The sequence below is a fragment of the Homo sapiens genome, chromosome 6, assembly GCF_000001405.40.
Source record: "Homo sapiens chromosome 6, GRCh38.p14 Primary Assembly".
NCBI classification, from domain to species: domain Eukaryota; kingdom Metazoa; phylum Chordata; class Mammalia; order Primates; family Hominidae; genus Homo; species Homo sapiens.
Window position 1 is genome coordinate 154217649 of NC_000006.12, and position 21116 is coordinate 154238764.

The following is a 21116-nucleotide window of genomic DNA, read 5'->3' on the forward strand; positions in this document are numbered from 1 at the left end:
ATAAGCATTTAAAAGTTCATTTTTTAAAATTGACCAGGCAAAACATAACAATTTCATGGTTCACTTTTTAAAATACCACAATAACAATTTTTAGCTTATACCTTAGTTCATAATTGTATAAGTTTATTCTCCCTCAAAAAAGCATCTAAAAGTGAAATAGGGAAAATATTTTTTTAAAGAGACAAAAAAATTGTTTTCACTTGAGTGTCTGAAACAAGAAAAGGCATTTCTAAGCTCCTCTCCCAAACATGGAAATAGAGCAAAATAGAAGACTGTTGACAATAAAGAAAATATTTCTCTCAGCCCTTACCCAAAACTTGTAACCTTTTCATTACAACCATTAGTTACTTGCTGTGAAAAACTGGTGATGTTTAGAATCTTGTTTGACTGTTTTCTTTCTAGGATCCACTGGCTTAGAGTACCTTCTTTGCTAAGAACTTTTTTTAAAACATCATGGCAGCAGGAAAACATCTATCTGTGGCTAAGTAGATGGATGCACTAAAGGACTTATATTTACATAAAAGAAAATGACAGATGTTTCCTGGGAGTTTGTTGTATATTAACTTGACGTGAATGTGTGTGTTGGAGGAGAACAAGTTTTAAGAAATTGATGTACAAAACAAGAGCATTCTTCCCACAGTGTCTGAGAAAGGCAGCTCCCGTCTTTGCTGAGAAACGAACTCTTTCATTACCCTTAATTACTTACCCCTGTACTTTTAAATTGAGACTCACTACAGAACATGCGGAGTTTCTACTAAACTTAATTACATTTCCCTTCATCGTCCCTGAGAGAAATGTCACTATCCAGAAATGCAGTTGCCCAGGGAGAGGAACTTCTAAAACAAGGACTCATCACTGCAAACGCTACCCACTCCCTCCCCCACACCTCTCATCTTACCAAGTAATACCCAGATACATTATTTCCTGGCTTAAACCGGCTGCATCAGTAAGAAGGGAAGTTCTTCATGTGTTATTGCAAAGTAAATCTCTATCATCTGCATAATCTTGTGGGAGAAGGGAGAAGTTGCATTGTTGGCTACTAGAAAAGTCATTTTTAGAATAATGAAACTCTATAATGATATTATAAACATGAGAAGTTATTATAAATTTCAGGCCCAGACAAAATGGACCATTTAGCCGGATGGACAATTTTCAAGTCTAAAGGTCACTGACAGATTCAAAAACATGGGGTCCAGACACCTTAAGTTCAAATTTCAATTTGCATCTTCTTTGTAAGCTGGAAAGATAACCCCCAAAAGAATTTCAAGTAAAATGAACAGATCTTCATAGCATAGATAGGCGGTAAGATCTTGACGTTGATAACTGTGAAAGACTTTGATTTCACAGCCAACAGGATGAAGTATTTATATCATATCTACCCATGCAACTCTACTTACCATTAGATAGGTTTCTGCAAAGGGAGAACATAAAATTGGAAGATAAATAAACTGGAAATGTAAATAAACACTGGGGCGGTGAGGAGGGGGATCTGGGATTTACAGAGCAAACGTGCATGAAATACAACGGATTCAGATAAACATGGAAGGGTCTCACACTTTCATCGGTTTAAAAATGCACCTTACTGTGTAGGAGGAGAAATTCACTAGGTAACAAACAAAGCACTGAGAAGCAATTGTTTCTCTGCTACTCTGTCTCACTCACCTCTTGCTGGAGAGAGGAAAACTACTTGCAAGGAATCAGCCACAGAATGAGTGGGAAGGACGGGCCAAGGATGGAAGCTGGAGCTACAAGGCACTTTTAAAGAAAAGCCAGGACAGCAGGAGGTATTGGGCAGGGGAGAGGCGGGCAGCACTGTTTCACCACCATTCAAGACCAGAAAAGACCATTTGGGATGAACTGAGGCTCAGCGGCGGACTGACCTCACTATCACAGGGCTCCAAGTGCTAGCGGGCGAGACCTTGTGCCTTCCACATCCCACTTACACAGCAAGGGCTTTGCTAACCAACAGGATTTAGCAACTGATGCAAATAAAAAAAAAATAAGTAAAGATCTTTGATGTGGAGATTTTAACATCCTCTCCATTCGTGTATCTGTTCTTATTTTTCTCAGATGCTTAAGAAAACCAAGGGGATAAAAAAAAGCTAAAACTAGAAAAAGGATAGAAACAACTTCTCTCTTTGTCCAAGTAAATCAAAGCTTTGTTTGGAAGACTCAACTGTCCGTTCCTTGCCTTGTTATTTCTAACACAGAGCTTCCCGACTTTCTACAGTACAAAGCCATTCTGTCCTCATCTGGAGGGTGATGCTGGGGAGGTGAGGATAGGGGACAGATGAGAGTCCTTCTAGCTGGACAGAGCTGAGCGGATACCTGTAAGGAGTGTGTGTGTGTGTGTGTGTGTGTGTGTGTGTGTGTGTGTGTGTCCATGCACATGTTTGGTGAAAGGCAGTTGCTTTTTTTCTTCATGTTTCTAGAGCAAGAGAGCAATGAGAACTACATAGGGCAGATAGGTAAGGAAATCATTATAAGTAAAACAGGTTAAGCGTAAGCTCTGTGAATGGAGGAATTATGTGTGGGTTTTTCATTGCCATTGCCCACCATCTGCTGCAATGGGGCATGTGGTAGGCGTTCCATTAACATATTTTCAATTGGTCATGTGAAATAATAAGAGACACTAAGAATTCTGAGAATAGGGCTAAATCAAAGAGAATGCCCTCTGATATCTCCAATCAGCACCTCAAATACAGCCTGATTCAAACAGCCATTGTTGACCAGGTGCGGTGGCTTACGCCTTAGTTCCAGCACTTTGAGAGGCCGAGGTGGGTGGATCACTTGAGGTCAGGAGTTCGAGACCAGCCTGGCCAACATGGTGAAACCCACAAGAAACACAAAAAATTAGCTGGGCATGGTGGTGCACGCCTGTAACTTGGGAGGCTGATGCAGGAGAATCATTCGAACTCAGGATGCAGAGGTTGCAGTGAGCCGAGATCGCACCACTGCACTCCAGCCTGGGCAACAGAACAAGACTGTCTCAAAAATAAATAAATAAATAAATAACAGCTATTGTGATCACACCTGACTCTAAACCATTAGGAATGGTGTAGGGCAGGTTGTACTCTGCACACAGCCCACTTATTTTCACAGACCACCCTGGAAATGGAGCTAGGGATCTACAATTTTAAGTTTGATGTACTCCGAGCAAAGGCGTTTTGCAATATGTTCAGGACAATACATGGAGAGGTGATAAATACGTGAATCATCACGATAATCACACAGCATATATTAAACGCTATAGCAATATTTTGCATGTAGAATTCCGAAAGCTGCAAGATCAGTTACATAATACTTTCAAGCCTCTCTCCTTGTGATGCTGATTCTCCTTTTAACATGTTCTTTTAATGACTTCTGTCCACTCCTTTTTCAACTTAGTGGTTCCCCGAAATAGCCACTTTGATACATGTAATTCTCCAAACCGTTTCCAAATACTAGAGAAGAAAGCACGAAGGCATTGTAACTGCTAAATAAATTAATCCTTAAAGTAACAGAAATAAAATAATAATTGATATGGACATATGATTAGAATTCCAGTACCAGGCTAAAGTTAAGTATATTCCCATTAAGGATGGGGTTTACCAGTTTCCTCTACTTACACGTTCATTTCCTGCACATTCTCAGCTGCAAAATAAAAGGTCTTGATCTGTGGATGGCTGATCTTAAAAGCACTTGAAGGAGGAAAAGCACAAACACATAAAAAATTAGTGTTTATAGTCAACAATGGGTCTGAAAGTAAATCAGTAAAATACAAGCTTTGTAAACTTGTCTGCTTTCTTTGTAAATTTACAAAAAATAATTTAGTAATATTAGATACCTATTGTCTAGTCTCTGTTTCATATAGAGAACTAAGAGTCAATTTTTTATGTCAGAACGTCCAGAACAGGGCTGAGTCTTAGCTGGTCAGTAGTTTCCATTTAAAACATATAGGTATGGCCGGGCACGGTGGCTCACGCCTGTAATCCTAGCACTTTGGGAGGCCGAGGCGGGCAGATCACGAGGTCAGGAGATCGAGACCATCCTGGCTAACATGGTGAAACCCCGTCTCTACTAAATATACAAAAAAATTAGCCGGGCATGGTGGCGGGCACCTCTAGTCCCAGCTACCCGGGAGGCTGAGGCAGGAGAATGGCATGAACCTGGGAGGCAGAGCTTGCAGTGAGCCGAGATCATGCCACTGCACTCCAGTCTGGGTGACAGAGGAAGACTCCGTCTCAAAAAACAAATAAATAAATAAAAAATAAAACATATAGGTATATCCTCTTCCTTTCACTTGCTAACTGCTTTGCTATAAAGATACAATAAATTCAATTTTAAAGTGATAGAAATAACACTTCAAAATATTCAGAACAACTACTTCAAGCAAGGTATTTCTTCACTTTCAATCAAATATACAGAAGAATTTTTATAGGAGAATAATCAGGTATGGAACGTCCACTCTGCAGCAACACATCAGAAATCTTATTCAAGGCACCCTTTGTTAGTAAAGGGAAATATGAAATAGATTTTAATATAAAAGAAAAGCAGAAAACATTGAAGATAACAAATGAGAAGGGCTTCCACTTTACCCTTTAGGCAGGAAGTCCTGCAGCACGGCACAGGCCAGGGTTTTTGTAAATAGCCAATCCTTTTCAAACCACAAGAATCAGCACTGGACATGTGCAACCACACCACAGAGGCAAAGACTTAAAGCTAACACCAGTTTACTAACCTTGTTAAAAGAAAACTACTCAATTGCTGCAACTAGTCACATAGGACAAAAAGGAAGGCCCCTTTCTGATAAGACTGGAAAAGATGTCAAAGGTAGAAGAAATAATAAGAAAAAGGTGAAAATGGACACATACGCAAAATATAGCAGACTGCTATCATGGGAGGAGCACTTGAATGAGAGTCTATAGATACCTGGGTTTACAGCCAGCCCGCTCATGAGATCTAAGCAGGTCACAAACTCTTTGGGCTGTTTCCTTCTCAGGAAAACCAGGACCATGAGCTGGTAATTTTTTTTGGTCCCTGTCAGTGCTCAAATCTTTTGGATTTCAATTAGATCAGAGTGTAATCTCCAAGCTTAAGACATCTCAGAAAATTCAATTCCAAGTGTGCATCTGACAACTCCATGAACTAAGAAAGAAAAGCTGGTCTTGCTGGCGTATCTGCAACTCGGGTGAGTCCTATTTAACTGCTTGTTTTTTCTTTAGTAGAACCGAAGCTTGACATCTGACCTCCCTGCCAGTCCTGGAGGGGGTTTATTCCATCACAGACACAGTCATCAACAACAGTCCATGCCAAGACTTCGTGGGGGTTTTAAAATCCATCTGCTCCACAAAACGAAATTCCAGAAAATGAGAGGTTAAATGCTTCTATTTCTATGTAGGGTGCCAACCCATAATGCTTCAAATTCTCAGACATTCCGATGTTACCTTCACTCACTTCTAAATCACCATATCCCTTGGTGAACATTATGAAGAGATAGTATCCTGGCTCAGAGTTTTGTGGAAGATGAGAGACAACTTACTGCTTTTTCTTGCATTCAGATGCTCTTTCCACAGTGAAATCAGGCAGGTTGACAAATCCATCAGCTTTCTCTGCCTGAAACAAATATATACCACAAATAGGAATGAATGCATCAATCCTGGGGATTAGTGCATTGAGATCATATACATGGAATAGGGATGGTATAAATGACATGAGGGAGAATCAAGAGATACCAACCACCCTGAATCACCATGGAGGTGTCCCAGATACACAGCTCATGAGAAAGATTAATGTTCTCCTGATAAGTCACCCAGAATCTTTCCAAGAGAAGTGGCATGACATGACACAGCTTAGGGATGGTCACCATATGGCAGGCTTAGGGCCTGTCTCCACCGGCCTCCTGTCTCTGTGGAAAACATAGCTAACCCAACAGTCATGTCTGCTGAGCCCATCAGCATCCACAGCATCTTCTATTCCTACGACTCTAGTCAGCTAGCACACAGGAAGAAACCTAACTAGCATTCTTGATATATATGGTGCCCAGAGCCCTGGAGTTAGCAAATCTACATTCCTATCATGGATTGACCACTTACTGGTTGTTGTGACTTAAATGAGCTCAGATAAATAAAACTGCTAAGAGTCACTCAACAAACATTATTTCCTCTCCCAAGTCTGTAGGCAGGGCCTTGGGGATTAAATCACAGAGCTGCATCTTTCAGAACCTCAGTCCCATCATTGATTTCTGGGAATTCTTTCTACAAAGAAAAGACTGCATAAGAAAATTATATTTATGAGGACGTAGCATAAATGTCACTTTACATCACCAAAAACATGTATAGGAAATATAATCACTGTCCCACCTCTCTAAGAATTTGTTAATCTGTGTTTTACAAATAAAGTTTAACTGAGCCACAACAAAGCTAGATTGTTCGTCACCCATAGAACTCAAATCTTCTTTCATCTACACTGGTGTCTCTGAGTAGAGAAATAGAATCTACAAGATTAAACATAAATGAGTCTGTGGTTATTGGGAGATGAGTAAAAATGGATTTTGAAAATACAATCTTAATTTTACAAGTCAGCTAGCTATTAAGTTAGTGCCATGGGTGCTTTCAGTTTACTTGATCATTCTGCTCTTTCCTTTATTGCCAACTAGAGTGCAACTTGCATTCTTTTCTTCAGAAAAATTAAACTGTGAGGCATCCAACCCTATGCCCATCTTCTCTCTCTTATGTGACTCAACTTATCTAAATTATTCACCTGAAATGCCTTCCTCTTATAAGATTCAAAACTCAAGGCTGGGTGCAGTGGCTCATGCCTGTAATCCCAGCACTTTGGGAGGCTGAGGAGGGTGGATCACTTGCGGTGAGGTGTTCACGTTCAGCCCAGCCAACACGGTGAAACCCCATCTCTACTAAAAATTCAAAAAATATTAGCTGGTCATGGTGGTGGGCCCCTGTAATTTCAGCTACTTGGGAAGCTGAGGCAGGAGGTTAGCTTGAACCTGGGAGGTAGAGGTTGCAGTGAGCCAAGATCGTGCCACTGCACTCCAGTCTGGACAACAGAGTGGGACTCTGTCTTAAAAAAAACAAACAAACAAAAAAAAGAGATTCAAAACTCAATTCTAATGGGCACTCTCTTCTTTAAACATTATATATGCATATGTGTGTTTATACAGAGTGAATATGTACTCATTCATATGTATATTATATATATGCAGCTTCTCTCTTGACAGCCTTCTTAATTACTGGATGCTGATTCTCGAAGAGAATATAAGGTATTCAAAGAATACAGACTAAGTCAACTTTCTGTACAATGCACAGTGCTTCCTGTGGATTCTCAATCCGCCTTACAAAAAAGTATAGTTTTGAAAAACTATGTTAGGTCTCATCAATTCCACTTTTAGATCTACAGACTGAGTATCCCTTATTTGAAATGCTTGGGGACTGGAAGTGCCTTATATTTCAGAATTTTTCTGATTTGGGGATATTTGCATATACAAACAAGTCAAGTATCCCAAATCTGAAAATCCAACACCCAATGAATACTCCCTTTGAGCATCATGTTGGTGCTCAAAAACTTTCAGATTTTGGAACATTTTGGATTGGATTTTTGGATTATGGATGCTCAGAGGAATTGAAAAAGGGTACTCAAATACATGTGCAGCCCTGTTCACAAAGCACTCACAACAGCCAAAAGGTAGAAACAGCCCAAATGCCCATTAACAGATAAATGGATAAATTAATTGTGCTGTATCTATACAATGGGATATTATTCAGCCTTAAAAAAGAATAAAGTACTAATACATGCTACGTGGATGAATCTTGAAAACCTTGTGTTAAGTGAAAGAAACCAGACACAAAAGCTCATCTCTCGTATGATTCAATTTATATGAAATATCCAGAAGTGGAAATCCAGAGAGACAGAACACAGCTAATTGGTAGCTACCAGGGTCCCAGGCAGTAGGAAATAGGGAGCAACTGCTCAATGGGTAAGGGGTTTCCTTTTGGGGTGATGAAAATGTTCACAATCTAGATAGATGAGGGGGTTGCACAACATTGTGAATGTATTAAATGCCACTGAACTGCTCACTTTAAAGTAATTAATGTTAGGTTGTATGACTTTCATCTAAATTTTAAGAATCTATGTTAGGCTAAGGCGTTTTTATGTAAATTTCCATAATTGAAACATCACTTAGACTCAGCATTTGTTTCTACTTCCTCCTCCCATTCATTTCTATATGTTCCAGAGAAACTGTAGAGACCAAAACTCCACCCGCGTTGCTAAATCCCATCTACTGTTTTTAGTCCTCCCTTAATTGAACTCTAAGTGACGCTGTAGCTGCTCCCTCCCTCTGGAGCCACCCTGATGTTGTGGCCTTTTTGACAACACATTACTGCTGCTCCCCTTTTTCCTCTAACTATGCCTTCTTCTCTTTCAGGGGTCTTGTTCTCCTGTCTGTTTCTTAAATGTCAGAGTTCACTAGAGTTCTGTCCACAGACTTATTCTCTTTTTGTTCCAAAACTCTCTATGGATGATCATACACACCCTCATGGCTCCATCTGTCATCACTGTACACACATATCCAAAACCCATACCTTGTATCACCACTGTCCACATATATCCAAAATCCATATCTCAAACTGGGATTCAATCCTGGAGCTCCTGTCCCAGATTTCCAACTGCCTAGTAAGCCTATTCCCATGGGCCCCGCAAGAGTAACAAATTCAAAATCAAACTCATTATCTTACTCCATAAAATGCCCACTTCTTTCTCCTGTGTTCTTGACTTCAGTGAATAATATCACTTTCTAGCCAGTTGCCAAAACAGGACATGTGAGAGACATCCCCAACTCTTCCATTCCCTTCTCGGTGCCCATGCAGGTAAACTCAAAGTTGTATAGTTGCTGCATCTGCTCAGGTCTTCAATCCACCCATTACCTACTGCCTCCTTCAACTTACCTTTAATGTTTTGTTGAATTACCGCAAAAGTCTCCTCAACTGTTCTCCTTCTCTATAATTCTGCTGTTTCATCAAATTTAGTGTCCAAATCACAGTCACAGTCACAGCAAATGTTTACATCATGAACATTCTTCATGGCACTGTTCTGATTAAATACCCTGCATGGTGTCCAGCTGCCCTCGGGTCAAGTCTAAATGCCTCAGCAGAGGATGAAAGACCCTTTATAATCAAGCCCTGATTAGTTCCACAATTTCATCTCTCCCCCTCCCCCATTCAGCCAAAGACAAACAGAAAAATCAAAAACAAAGAAAAAACAATACTTCTGGCCAGGCGCAGTGGCTCACGCCTGTAATCCCAGCACTTTGGGAGGCCAAGGTGGGCGGATCACCTGAGGTTAGGAGTTTGAGACTAGCCTGGCCAACATGGTGAAACTCTATCTCTACTAAAAATTACAAAAATTAGCCAGGTGTGGTGGCGGACGCCTGTAATCCCAGCTACTTGGGAGGCTGAGGCTGAGGCAGGAGAATCGCTTGAACCTGGGAGGCAGAGGTTGCAGTGAGCCAAGACCGCACCACTGCACTCCAGCCTGGGCAACAGAGCAAGATTCTGTCTCAAAACAAACAAACAAAAAAATTAAAAAATAAAATAATAAAAAAATAAAAAACAATAGTTCCATGGAGCTGAATTAGAATCAGCACCCAATTTATGGCATGATTAGTTTCTAGACAACTCATTTTCAGTACAATAAATCGATCTCAAATGATATAATACACAAATCAATCAACAAAAATGTAACATACCTATATACACTTTTAGTAATATTTTTATTCATCTAAAAATAAAATTGGCCAGGCTCACTGGCTCACGCCTGTAATCCCAACACTTTTGGAGGCCAAGGTGGGAGGATCACTTGAGCCCAAGAGTTCAAGACCAGCCTGGGCAACATGGTGAAATCCCATCTCTGCAAAAGTATAAAAATTAGCCGAGCATGGCAGCACACGCCTATATTCCCAGCTACTTGAGAGGCTGAGGTGGGAGAATCACCTGAGCCCGGAGGTCGAGGCTGTCATGGGTTGTGATCACAACACTGCACTCCAGCCTGGGTGACAGAGTTAAAATGTGTCTCAAAAAAAAATTAATTAATTAATTAAATTTAATCCATGTAAAAAATAAATGGTAAATCTTCATTTGGGTGGATTCCTTTTCTGCATAAGTGAAACAGCTGAGATTCCCTTAAACAGGAGCCTAAATAAGTTTGGGTGAAAACACCTTAGTGTTTCCCCAGGAAATTATCACTTTATAAGCAGAAGCTTTTTTTTTATTCTGAAGACAGTTGAGCTATATTCAAAATCACAGATAATTTGTGTCAAAAAATGGTCCTTGCTTATTTGACTTGCAAAAAAAAAATGCCTCAAAAATGACAATCACAGAGGGCAAATCTTGAGAGAATGACAGTGTTCTTCTCTTCCTCCTCCTTTTCCTCCTCCTCCGCTTCTCCAGATCCCCTGTTGCCTATTATATTAACTAAAATAACTTTGTTGAATGGGATCCTTCTTCTTCAATTCCTAACTTTCTAAAAAGTTTCCTGCAGGCAGCCAAGCAGGGTGGCTCACGCCTGTAATCCCAGCGCTTTGGGAGGCCGAGGCAGAAAGATCACTTGAGCTCAGGAGTTCAAGACCAGCCCAGACAACATAGGCAGACCTTGTCTCTGTTTAAAAAAAAAAAAAAAGTTTCCTCCAGGTTCTATGCTGGTACCTGCAAGCTTCCCTCGAAATCCTGATGTAATAAAAAACTTGTTCTCCTGCCAGAGGTATCAAACCCATCGTTTGGCCATTGTACAAACTTCTCTTTCCAAATCTAGTCTTAAATTCAGAAGAAACACGTTCCTTTTCACTTTGTTTTATGATGTTCTATGATCTCAAACCTTTCTCCTCACAATTCAGCCCATCTAGTTTTCCCAGCATCTCTGATTTTGTTCATCTCAGTGGAGTGTCACGTACAGTTGCTGTCATTAGGCAGCATTAAATACATATTTTTATGAAAATGGCTGGTGTTACAACATTGGGGGGAAATGTAAAGGTTGCTGATCATCTCTTTGATCTCATGAATCACCTCTAGAGTATTTGTCTCCTTTAAACACTCTGCTCTTGGCCAGATGTGGTGGCTCATGCCTGTAATCTCAAGTGCTTTGGGCGGCCAAGGCGGGAGGATGACTTGAGGCCAGACGTTCAAGGCTGCAGTGAGCTGAGATGGTGCCACTTGCACTCCAGCCTGGGCTACAGAGTGAGACCCAGTCTCAAAACAAACAAACAAAAAACAGAGTAAAGGGTTCCAAGGTGTGAGCAAGGCAGGTTGCCTCCTGCTCCCTGGCCCTATAATGCCCTTCCTACCTCATTCCCCTAGATAAGTTTCCAGGATTCAACTTAGGTGTGACCATTTCCAAAACTTTTTCCCTATTCCCTTAAGTCTGGACTAGGTGCCCCCATGTCTGCCTCCAGCCCCAGGGGCGGCCCTCCCTTACAGGACCTCTCTTACTGTATTTAATTATCTGGTTGTTTGTCTGCTTCTCCAATGGATTGTGAGTACCTTGAAGGAAATAACTGTGTTGTTCATACATATTATTTATAAGGTGTGGAATAAATACATGTGAAATAAATAAATACATTTTTTGAATGAATGAATGAACTATAATCTTTTTCCTCTGACAATAAAGTGTTAAAATGAGATGCAGAAGGCAGTGTGGAAAAGTTTGCCGGTTTTTTTTTTTTTTTTTTTTTGAGACGGAGTCTCTCTCTGTCGCCCAGGCTGGACTGCAGTGGCGCGATCTTGGCTTACTGCAAGCTCCGCCTCCTGGGTTCACGCCATTCTCCCGCCTCAGCCTCCCGAGTAGCTGGGACTACAGGCACCCGCCACCACACCCGGCTCATTTTTTGTATTTTTTTTTTTTTAGTAGAGATGGGGTTCGCCGTGTTAGCCAGGACGGTCTCGATCTCCTGACCTCATGATCTGCCTGCCTTGGCCTCCCAATGTGCTGGGATTACAGGCGTGAGCCACCGTGCCCAGCAGTTTGTCAGTTTCTAAAAAAAGTAAGCATATAATTGCCATACAACTGAGCAATTCTACTCCTAGGTGTCTACCCAAGAGGAATGGATGCAAATGCCCATGCAAAGGTTTGCATGCAAATCGTTATAACAGCTTTATTCATAGTAACCTAGAACTGGAAACAACCTAAATGTCCATCAGCTACTAAATAGAATATGACACAGCCATACGACGAAATGCTATTTAATCATGAAAAGGAGCAAACCAGTGACGCTTGCTGAAACATGGATGAACCCTGAAAACATTCTGCTAAGTGAAAGTGAAACACAAGCGATCAGTTATGACTGTGTGATTCCATTTCTAGGAAGTGTCCAGAAAGGGCAAATCTATAGAGACAGAAAGCAGGACGGTGGTTGCCTGCGGTTGGGGGTGGGAACTGACTGTAAATGGGGATGGGGGATCTTATTGGTACAATACCAATTATTTAAAACTGATTTATTATGATGGTTGCATCACTTGGTAAATCTACCAAAAATGAATGAACTGCAAATTTGAATAGGGTGAACTTTATGATACATAAAATGTACCTTAATAAAGCTGTTTTTAAAAACATGAGGTTCATCAGTTATAACAAATCTCCCATGCAGATGGGGATATTGATAATGGGGAGGTTGTACATGAGTATGGGCGGGGATCATATGGGAAATATCTGTACCTTCCTCTTACTTTTGCTGTGAGCCTAAAACTGCTCTAAAAAAATTAAGTCTTTTAGAAATTAACTAAAACAGGACATCAGATTTTAGAATTTAAATGCAAAAATAAGTGTTCATTGCCATGATAACATTTGCCCTTTTCGTACCACAAGTATTTTGGAAAATATACAAAATTACTTCTTAGGTACCTACACATGTCAGAAAAGCAGAAGGGCTGACCAGGAGAAATGAGAGTGACGTGTATTCCCGAGTCTAAATAGGTCAAAGAGGACCAAGCCAGAAACAGATGAATGGTAATATAGGAAACTGTCATGTAGTTCCTGGTTAAAAAATGAAAAGTAATATTATATCTCTATTTTCAATGAAACCATAGTTCCTTAATTCTAAAACCCTGATTTCTTTACACTTCAATAATTCTGAAATCAGAAGACACCTTAGAATCTATGTATATTTTCATTGCAACATCTTCTCCCCTAAAACCTGTTATTAAATAAATTACAGGTCTTAAATAGAATCTTGAATTCAAGAAAAAAAAACAGCTAAAAAAATTTCTTTGTAATATACTTTTGTGTTTTTAAGTGAATATAGAATTGAAATTCTTGAAATTACATTGAGCAAATTTAATGAGGTTACCCAATGACTATCTGAATCAGCCGAAACTGCAAAAGTCTCCATTTCTCCATATAAATCTATTGTTTTCTCAGTTACTCCCCAAAACCCCCAGGGCACTGGAAACAGATGAGGTCTAAACTCTGAGCTGAGCTGCCCATTCTCATGCCGCCTTAGAACAGTTGTCTCTAGATTCTCACACTACACACAGACTCATGACCACTAGAGAAATCTGAATTATATTCTTTAAAATAGAAAGTAAAAGTAAAAGGAGATTGAAGAAAAGTTAGGATAAAATTCACTGTAAAAGTTCTAGTTCTATGGAGAAACAGTCATTCTCAAACACTGCTGGTGGTAATGCAAAATGGAACTCAACAGAAGGAAACTGGATAATAATCAGCAAAAATGCACTTGCCCATTGACCCAGAAATTCCACTTCTGGGATCTGTCCTAACTATACCTTGGAGAATATGTGGAATGACATGTACATTGCAGCATTGTTTGTATTTACAAAGGATTGCAAAGAATGCAAATGTCTGTCATCAGGTGACAGTTGAATACACTGTGGTATCCACACACAGTGAATAACTATGAAAAACGCCATACAACGCGTAGAGCAATCTCTAGGACATAGTGAGAGAAAAAGTAAGGTGCAGTACTATATATTTAATGTGCTAATTTTGTGTAAGAAAGGAGGAAGAGATTTGACTCAATATACACACTTGCTGTATTTGCGAAAAGAAACATGGGAAAATAAACCAAAAACAAATAGAAAAGGGGGAAGAAAGAGGATAGAGAACAGAGATGCGAAGGAGACTGACTTGGTTGTAACTTGTTACAGGTTTGACTTTGGAATCGGGTACATGATTGATTTTTTAAATCAAAAACAAACACGAAAAAGAAAAGCAATTCTCGAAATTAAAAACAAATAGAAACAAACCTAATTGAATGTAAACATGGTGACATAGCCCCACACAAATAATCATTGCTCTGAAAGACTTAAGAACTTTGACTATACGTATTTCATGGCAAATAGGCTAAGTAAGGACTCTTCGTAGTGACATGTTATTATCATTTTTACATAGTCTTGGTAGGTTTTTTTCCTTTCTTCCCCTCTAAAATTGCACAGAATCTAAAGCTCCCCTCCTTCTCTCCATACAATAGCGTCCATGGCACTGCAACTCATCTGCCCCTTCCTTTCAGAAAAGGAAATACGAAGATTAGCACACCAACACAATCTACATCCTGCAACTATCACAGAGAGCTGCACGTATTAGCATCGGGCTGTGACAAGCACTGCACCAAAAGAAAGAAAAAATGTCTGTGTTTTATTTTCTTCTAGATATCAGAAGCAGGCCTGGTAGGGAGTGTGCTTGGAATCCTTTTAAGAAATATAATAATCTTGAGTAACATCTAATAAGACCTAGCATTTATTGAGCGCTAAGCATATGCCAGTGAGGTAGTACTATGATCACAGCCTTAAGAGGAAAATTAATCCCATGCCAAGTGCCAGACCTAGAACACCAAGCTAGCCTGGTATTATACCATGGGAACCATCATGTGGTATTATTAAAGTGACAGGACTCAGACCAAGACCCAGCAACCAGTCAAATAATTCTAAAGACAAGACTGAAGAAATTCTTCAGAGCTAAAATAGGCTCAGGAACTGAAATGGGAGGAGGAGAGAATCTGCAGTCAACACATGGCACAGAAAAAAACAACCCTGGATTTGGAATTAATGTCTCGATGTAAGCCACATACTCTGACATCCGAGGCAGAGTACTTAACCTCTCTGAGTCACTGTACTCACAGTGAATAAGCAGCTATAACCAGCTTCTCCAGACTAAATGGAAATTAACATAGATGTGTGTAATAATGTAAAATTTGTTAAAGCTATAAAGAAATCCAAGAATTTATTATTATTAGTTCCTAGGAAAGCAGGAAAAGGGGTGAAAAGAAAACAAAAGAGAAGGAATGACCCAGAAATTAATGTAAAATAAGCCTTTTTTCTTTTCTTTTTTTTTTTTTTTTGAGATGGAGTCTTATTCTTGTCACCCAGGCTGGAGCACAGTGGTGCAATCTCATCTCACTGCAACCTCCGCCTCCCGGGTTCAAGTGATTCTTCTGCCTCAGACCCCCAAGTAGCTGGGGTTACAGGCATGTGCCGCCACGCCCAGCTAATTTTTGTATTTTTAATAGAGACATGGTTTCGCCATATTGGCCAGACTGGTCTCAAACTACTGGCCTCAAGTGATCTGCCCGCCTCAGCCTCCCAAAGTGCAAAATAAGCTTTTTGACTGAGTGCATTGTAAGCTGAGCCATCCGACTAGCTGTTTCTGTGTCTCGGCTCTCCTCTCTTTTCTTTGCATCAGATTAATGGTTATAAAAACATTTTAGTTTATTTGGAGAATAATAATACTAGTAAACTTACCATATTCTTCATGTATTATTTGGGGTATTTTTACTAAAATATTGTTGCGTTTGGGTTTAGCTAACATTACCCTATGAATATAACTAGATTTAGATCCAGAGAGACTTTTTTCTTACAAACACCTAGAAATAGATATTCTACATAGACAACATTTGGTAAATGTTTTTGGCTAGAAAAAAGGCCCAATTTCCTACAGAACCCAGAGATTCTTGGCATTGATTATAAAAACAGATGGAAAGAATTGATTACGCTAATGAGGATGGTTCTGAGGATACTGAGGCTCCAACAGGGGGAAGAGGGGAGGGTTCTGCAGTAAGGAGATCAGTTACTCTCAGTGACCCTGACATATGCCCTGTCCTTACCACCCAGGGCACACTGGCAAGACTTCCTGCCACCAGCACCTGCATCTCACTGTGGGAAAGCTTCTCTGGCTGCCCTATTCCACTCTTTCACCTGTGCAGAGGTCCTCGGAGATCACTGCTCCTGGGACGAGCTCTCAACCAGCAACGAATGGGTCTTGGGGTAGAAATGCCCCCAGCTAGGCCGGACGCCGTGGCTCACACCTGTAATCTCGGCACTTTGAGAGGCCAAAGCAGAAGGATCTCTTGAGGCTAGGAGTTCAAGACCAGCCTGGGCAACACAGTGAGACATCTGTCTTAAAAACATACAAAAATTAGCAAAGCACAACTATGTGCACCTGTGGCCTCAATTATGCAGGAAGCTGAGGCAGGAAGATTGCTTGAGCCCAGGAGTTTGAGGTTGTGGTGAGCTATGATCACACCACTGGAGGACAGTGAGACCCCATCTCTAAAAAAAGAAAAATACATAAATAAACAAATCAATATCCCAGTTCCTTTTTCCCTTAGCGTGAAAACTCTGCGGTACATGTTTTTCACAGGCTCCCAGGGTTCCCCAGAAGGATGAAGCTTTGGTTACCCACAGTCACACCCTGCTTGCTAAGGAGAACTTTATTAACTTTTCTACCCTCTCTCACTTCCCTATTGCCTTTCCGAGTATCTCCTGGATCACTTCTCAAGTAAACTGCTAGCACCCAAATCCTCTTCTCAAGAATCTGCTTCTGGGAAACCTAAACCAGGATGCTATTCCCCTTGCAGAAAACATTCCCTGCCATGAACAGCCCAACTGCTCAGCACAACAATCCCTCCTTACTATTCCCTCCTAAAAGTCAACCAAGGATATGGCTCTCTCACTATCACATTACGTCATATTTAGGTGGTGACCAAGAAGTGGCTGGCATCCTGTTCTATGCTTTGTAAGTCACCTCTTCTAGCTAGCCACTCACAATCTTTCATTCTCTCCTTATGGAGAAAGAGGGAAAGGGCTCTGAAGTAAGGAGATCACTTGGAGCAAAATCATATTTTAAGTGAAATTAAGTTACTAGTGAACTTTCAGGTAGTCTGACATACAAAGATAGTAATTACCTTCTGAAATGTAATTTTAAAAAATGATTAAGATGGAAACCTCAAATTTAAAAGAATTTTGTGTGATTGTCCTCTGCCGTGTAAAATCCTTAGCTTCTGCTCAGTCTCATCTCTGCCCTATTCTTTCGGAAGCTTTAAAACCCCAAATGTGCTACTGTTTTCACATATATGGGCTGGTCTCTGCACCAGCATAGTCAAAAAAAGAAAGAAAACAATACATATGAAGGAAAGCTTTTAAATGAATCAGAAGAAATTTGATAAAATCTCACCATTACAGACTAAATTTCATCTCTTGCTATCTAATTAATCTACCATCCATGGTTATTACACGAGTTGGGAGAAGAATAGATAAAGGAGCACCATTTAAGAAAATTTAAAATCAGGTGCATTCTCTTTGAATATTAGAGATTTAGAAGTAATAGGCCGGGCATGGTGGCTCACGCCTGTAATCCCAGCACTTTGGGAGGCCAAGGCGGGCAGATCACCTGAGGTCAGGAGTTTGAGACCAGCCTGGCCCACATGGCGAAAACCCGTCTCTACTAAAAATACAAAAAATTAGCTGGGTGTGGTGGCGGGTGCCTGTAGTCCCAGCTACTCGAGAGGCTGAGCAGGAGAATCACTTGAACCCGGGAGGCAGAGGTCACAGTCAGCCGAGATCGCACCATTGCACTCCAGCCTGGGCGACAAGAGCAAAACTCTGTCACAAAAAAAAAAAAAAAAAAAAGTAATGAAGACAAAGTTAAGTCTTTTAAAATCACAGTCAGTACAACACATAATCTTGCCTTCCTGCAATGTGAAGTTATCAAATACTTCAGGAACTTTCAAATCTCTTCAAGCTGTTTTCATGAGTTTCGTCTGTACTATTAAAATACACCACCACCACCACTAAGAAAATCTGGTTCAAAAATGGCAAAAGACATTTCTCCCAAGAAGATATGGAAATGGCCAATAAGCACATGCGAAAGTTGCTCAAGGTCACTAGTCATTAGGAAAAGGCAAATCAAAGCCACCGTGTGATGGTACCTCACAGCCATTAGGATGGCGACTGTAAATAATTAATTAATTAAGTGACAAGCACTGTTGAGGATGTAGAGAAAATGGAACCCTTGTGTTCCAGTTCTATGGTTGGGAATGTAAAACAGTGTAGCTGCTATGCAAAATAGCATGGTAGCGCCTCAAAAACAATTAAGATAGAACTACCATATGATCCAGCAATTCCACCTCTAGGTATAAAACCAAGGGAATTGAAAGCAGAGTCTCATCTCTATTGTGAATATTGGCATTATTCACAATAGCCAAAAGGTAGAAGCGACCCAAGTGTCTGTCAACAAATATGAGTCAATAAACAAAATGTGGTACACACATCAAGGGGATAAGATTCAGCTTAAAAAGGAAGACAATTCTGAGACCTGCTACCACATGGATGAACCTTGAAGACATTATGCTAAGTAAAATAGGCCAGTCACAAAAGGATAAATATTGTATGATTCCACTTATAGGAGGGAACTACAGTAGTCAAATTCGTAGAGACAGAGAGGAGAATGGTGGTTGCCAGGGACTGGGAGGAGAAGGAATGGAGACTTATTATTTAATAGGTACAGAGTCTCAGTTTTGCAAGACGAAAAGAGTTCTGGAGATGGATGATGCTGACGGTTGCACAGTAATAAGAAATTAAGCAATGCCACTCAACTGTACCCTTAAAAATGGCTAAGATGGTAAACTTCATTAAAAAACATTTAATTTTAAAGCTACTACTCTGAAATCGTTATTTGTCAGTGAAGAATGAAAATGCATTTTCCAAGGTAAGTTTTACAAGATTCAAGGTGTGAAAATATCAGTGGCTGACCTGCTGTTAATGAGCACCATCTCTTTCACAGGTAACAGACATCTATTCATGCTTCTGTTGAACAGACATAGAGGCGAGGCCCAGAGATGGTGGGTGGTTTGCCTAGATTGTCAAGGAGCCTCAGCATCAGGGTAGAATCAGGGTAGAATTAAAATTGGGTGCGTTCTCTTTCAAGGGAATGTAGAGATTCTACATTGTGAGCCCAGGGTTATCTTCCCCTGCAGCGTGCCTTTTCCTTGCATCTTTTTTAAAGACATCGTTTCAAACATGTTTCCCTAAATTCTGACTCCTTACAGAAATATTCAATATTTGTTTAAACTTTCCTCTCTATGGTTTCCTTTTGAAATCTTCTTGAAACATGCTCTATGGAAGATTAAACACAGCAGCACAGTGACAGATGAGTCTATCAATTAGCTTGTCTGTAGAAGAAGCAGCTGGAACCTGACCCTTAAAAGAGCTTGCTCCAGACAGATGATAAATCTTCAAATAAAGACTTCTCAGGAAAATCCTCAAACCTAATGAAAAGTTCAGCTCATCCCATGGGCCACTTGGCATTCTGTTGCTTGGGAAATGTGCCCACACCCTCACCATTAACTCATGTGTTAACTGAACTCTTCCTCCAGGGTGGAAAACGCTGTATTGACAAGTACCCAATGTCTTCTAGTCCATTCCCATCTTGTAGCTTAAAATCATCCTTTACACGGGGTCGGTAGGTGTATTTTTGGACTTTCTTACACAGGACAGATCATAGTCACTGAGAAAAACCATTCCTGGTATCTGAAAATTCCTAGCACAATTCTCCTGCATCCTAAAATCTCAATATTTAGGCAAACACATTGCTTTTGTTTGTATACATTCCTTTGATTTTTTAAATATTGCTTTTAGCTGCACTCAATCTTCTCAAAGTAGCTTTGAATAATATAGAGATAGTGTTCTTGGTCAACATTTACTTGCAAGAAAATAGACGCATAGACATTTGCATCACTGACTTAGAGCTACAAGACCTCATAATAAAGTACAGGATTAGAATCCAGGTGCCATTTGTCCCTTATACCATGCTGCCGAAATCCACCTTACTGCTGGCTTGCTTCAAGAATGATGAAATTATATACACACACATATACATATGTATGTTTATACACATGCATATCTATATATATGTTAATATTTATACACATACATATCTATATATGTGTCAATACTTATACATTTATGCACTATAAATATCAATTCAATATATATCAATTTATTTTTAAGTTAGTGTGTGTGCACTTATGTACTCTATTTCCTGTTAACGATTTTAAACGATTTTAGGATAAAAGCCATTTTTGATTTTAGATTCTATGCATTGGCAAATCAACTATCATATATGCATATATAATTCTTACAGCCATCAGAAATGATGTTGTGGATATACATGTATCAACATGGAAATATGTTTCTATGTATTACTTAGTGAGACAATCAAGTGACAACAGCATCATGTATGATATTATTTTATTTTTGTAAAACATAGAAACAAATGCTTGGAAACACATACAACAAAATGTCTAAACTCGTGCCATGGTGGTAGGAACCTTTATTTATTTATTTATTTTTTAGATGGAGTTTCACTCTTGTTGCCCAGGCTAGAGTGCAATGGCGCTGTCTCGGCTCACTGCAACCTCTGCCTCCCAGGTTCAAGCGATTCTCCTGCCTCACTCTCCCAAGTAGCTGGAATTACAGGCATGCACCACCATACTGGGCTAATTTTGTATATATATATATATTTTAATACAGACAGGGTTTCTCCATGTTGGTCAGGCTGGTCTCAAACTCCCGACCTCAGGTGATCTGCCTGTCTTGGCCTTCCAAAGTGCTGGGATCATAGGCATGAGCCACTACACCCGGCCAAGCCTGTATGATCTTAATTCATTTATTTCTCTCTGTGTGTTTGCTTCCATGTCTGTCTTCTTTTTTTATTTCGCTTACTTCTATTTTCAAATTTTTCCTATGAGCACATACTACTGTATAACCTTTTTTATAATTTTTATTTTTATTTTTAGCTGTTTTTTAAGAGATGGGGTCTCACCATGTTGACCAAACTGGTCT

General features: G+C 40.0%; 2 protein-coding genes across 8 annotated transcripts in view; one reads left to right on the top strand and one right to left on the bottom strand.

The window, feature by feature from the left end:
- OPRM1 (opioid receptor mu 1) overlaps positions 1–21116 on the top strand; it is a 236372-nt gene that overhangs the window by 207153 nt on the left and 8103 nt on the right. The window lies entirely within an intron of this gene.
- The window catches only part of IPCEF1 (interaction protein for cytohesin exchange factors 1), a 202308-nt gene that overhangs the window by 63153 nt on the left and 118039 nt on the right, over positions 1–21116 (bottom strand). For all 7 annotated transcript variants that reach the window (NM_015553.3, NM_001130700.2, NM_001394799.1 and 4 more), the window contains 2 exons: positions 5522–5595; positions 3609–3680 (listed from right to left, as the gene is read on the bottom strand). In NM_015553.3, the coding sequence (NP_056368.1) occupies positions 3609–3680; positions 5522–5595 (146 nt within the window). The remainder of the gene's footprint in view (positions 1–3608; positions 3681–5521; positions 5596–21116) is intronic.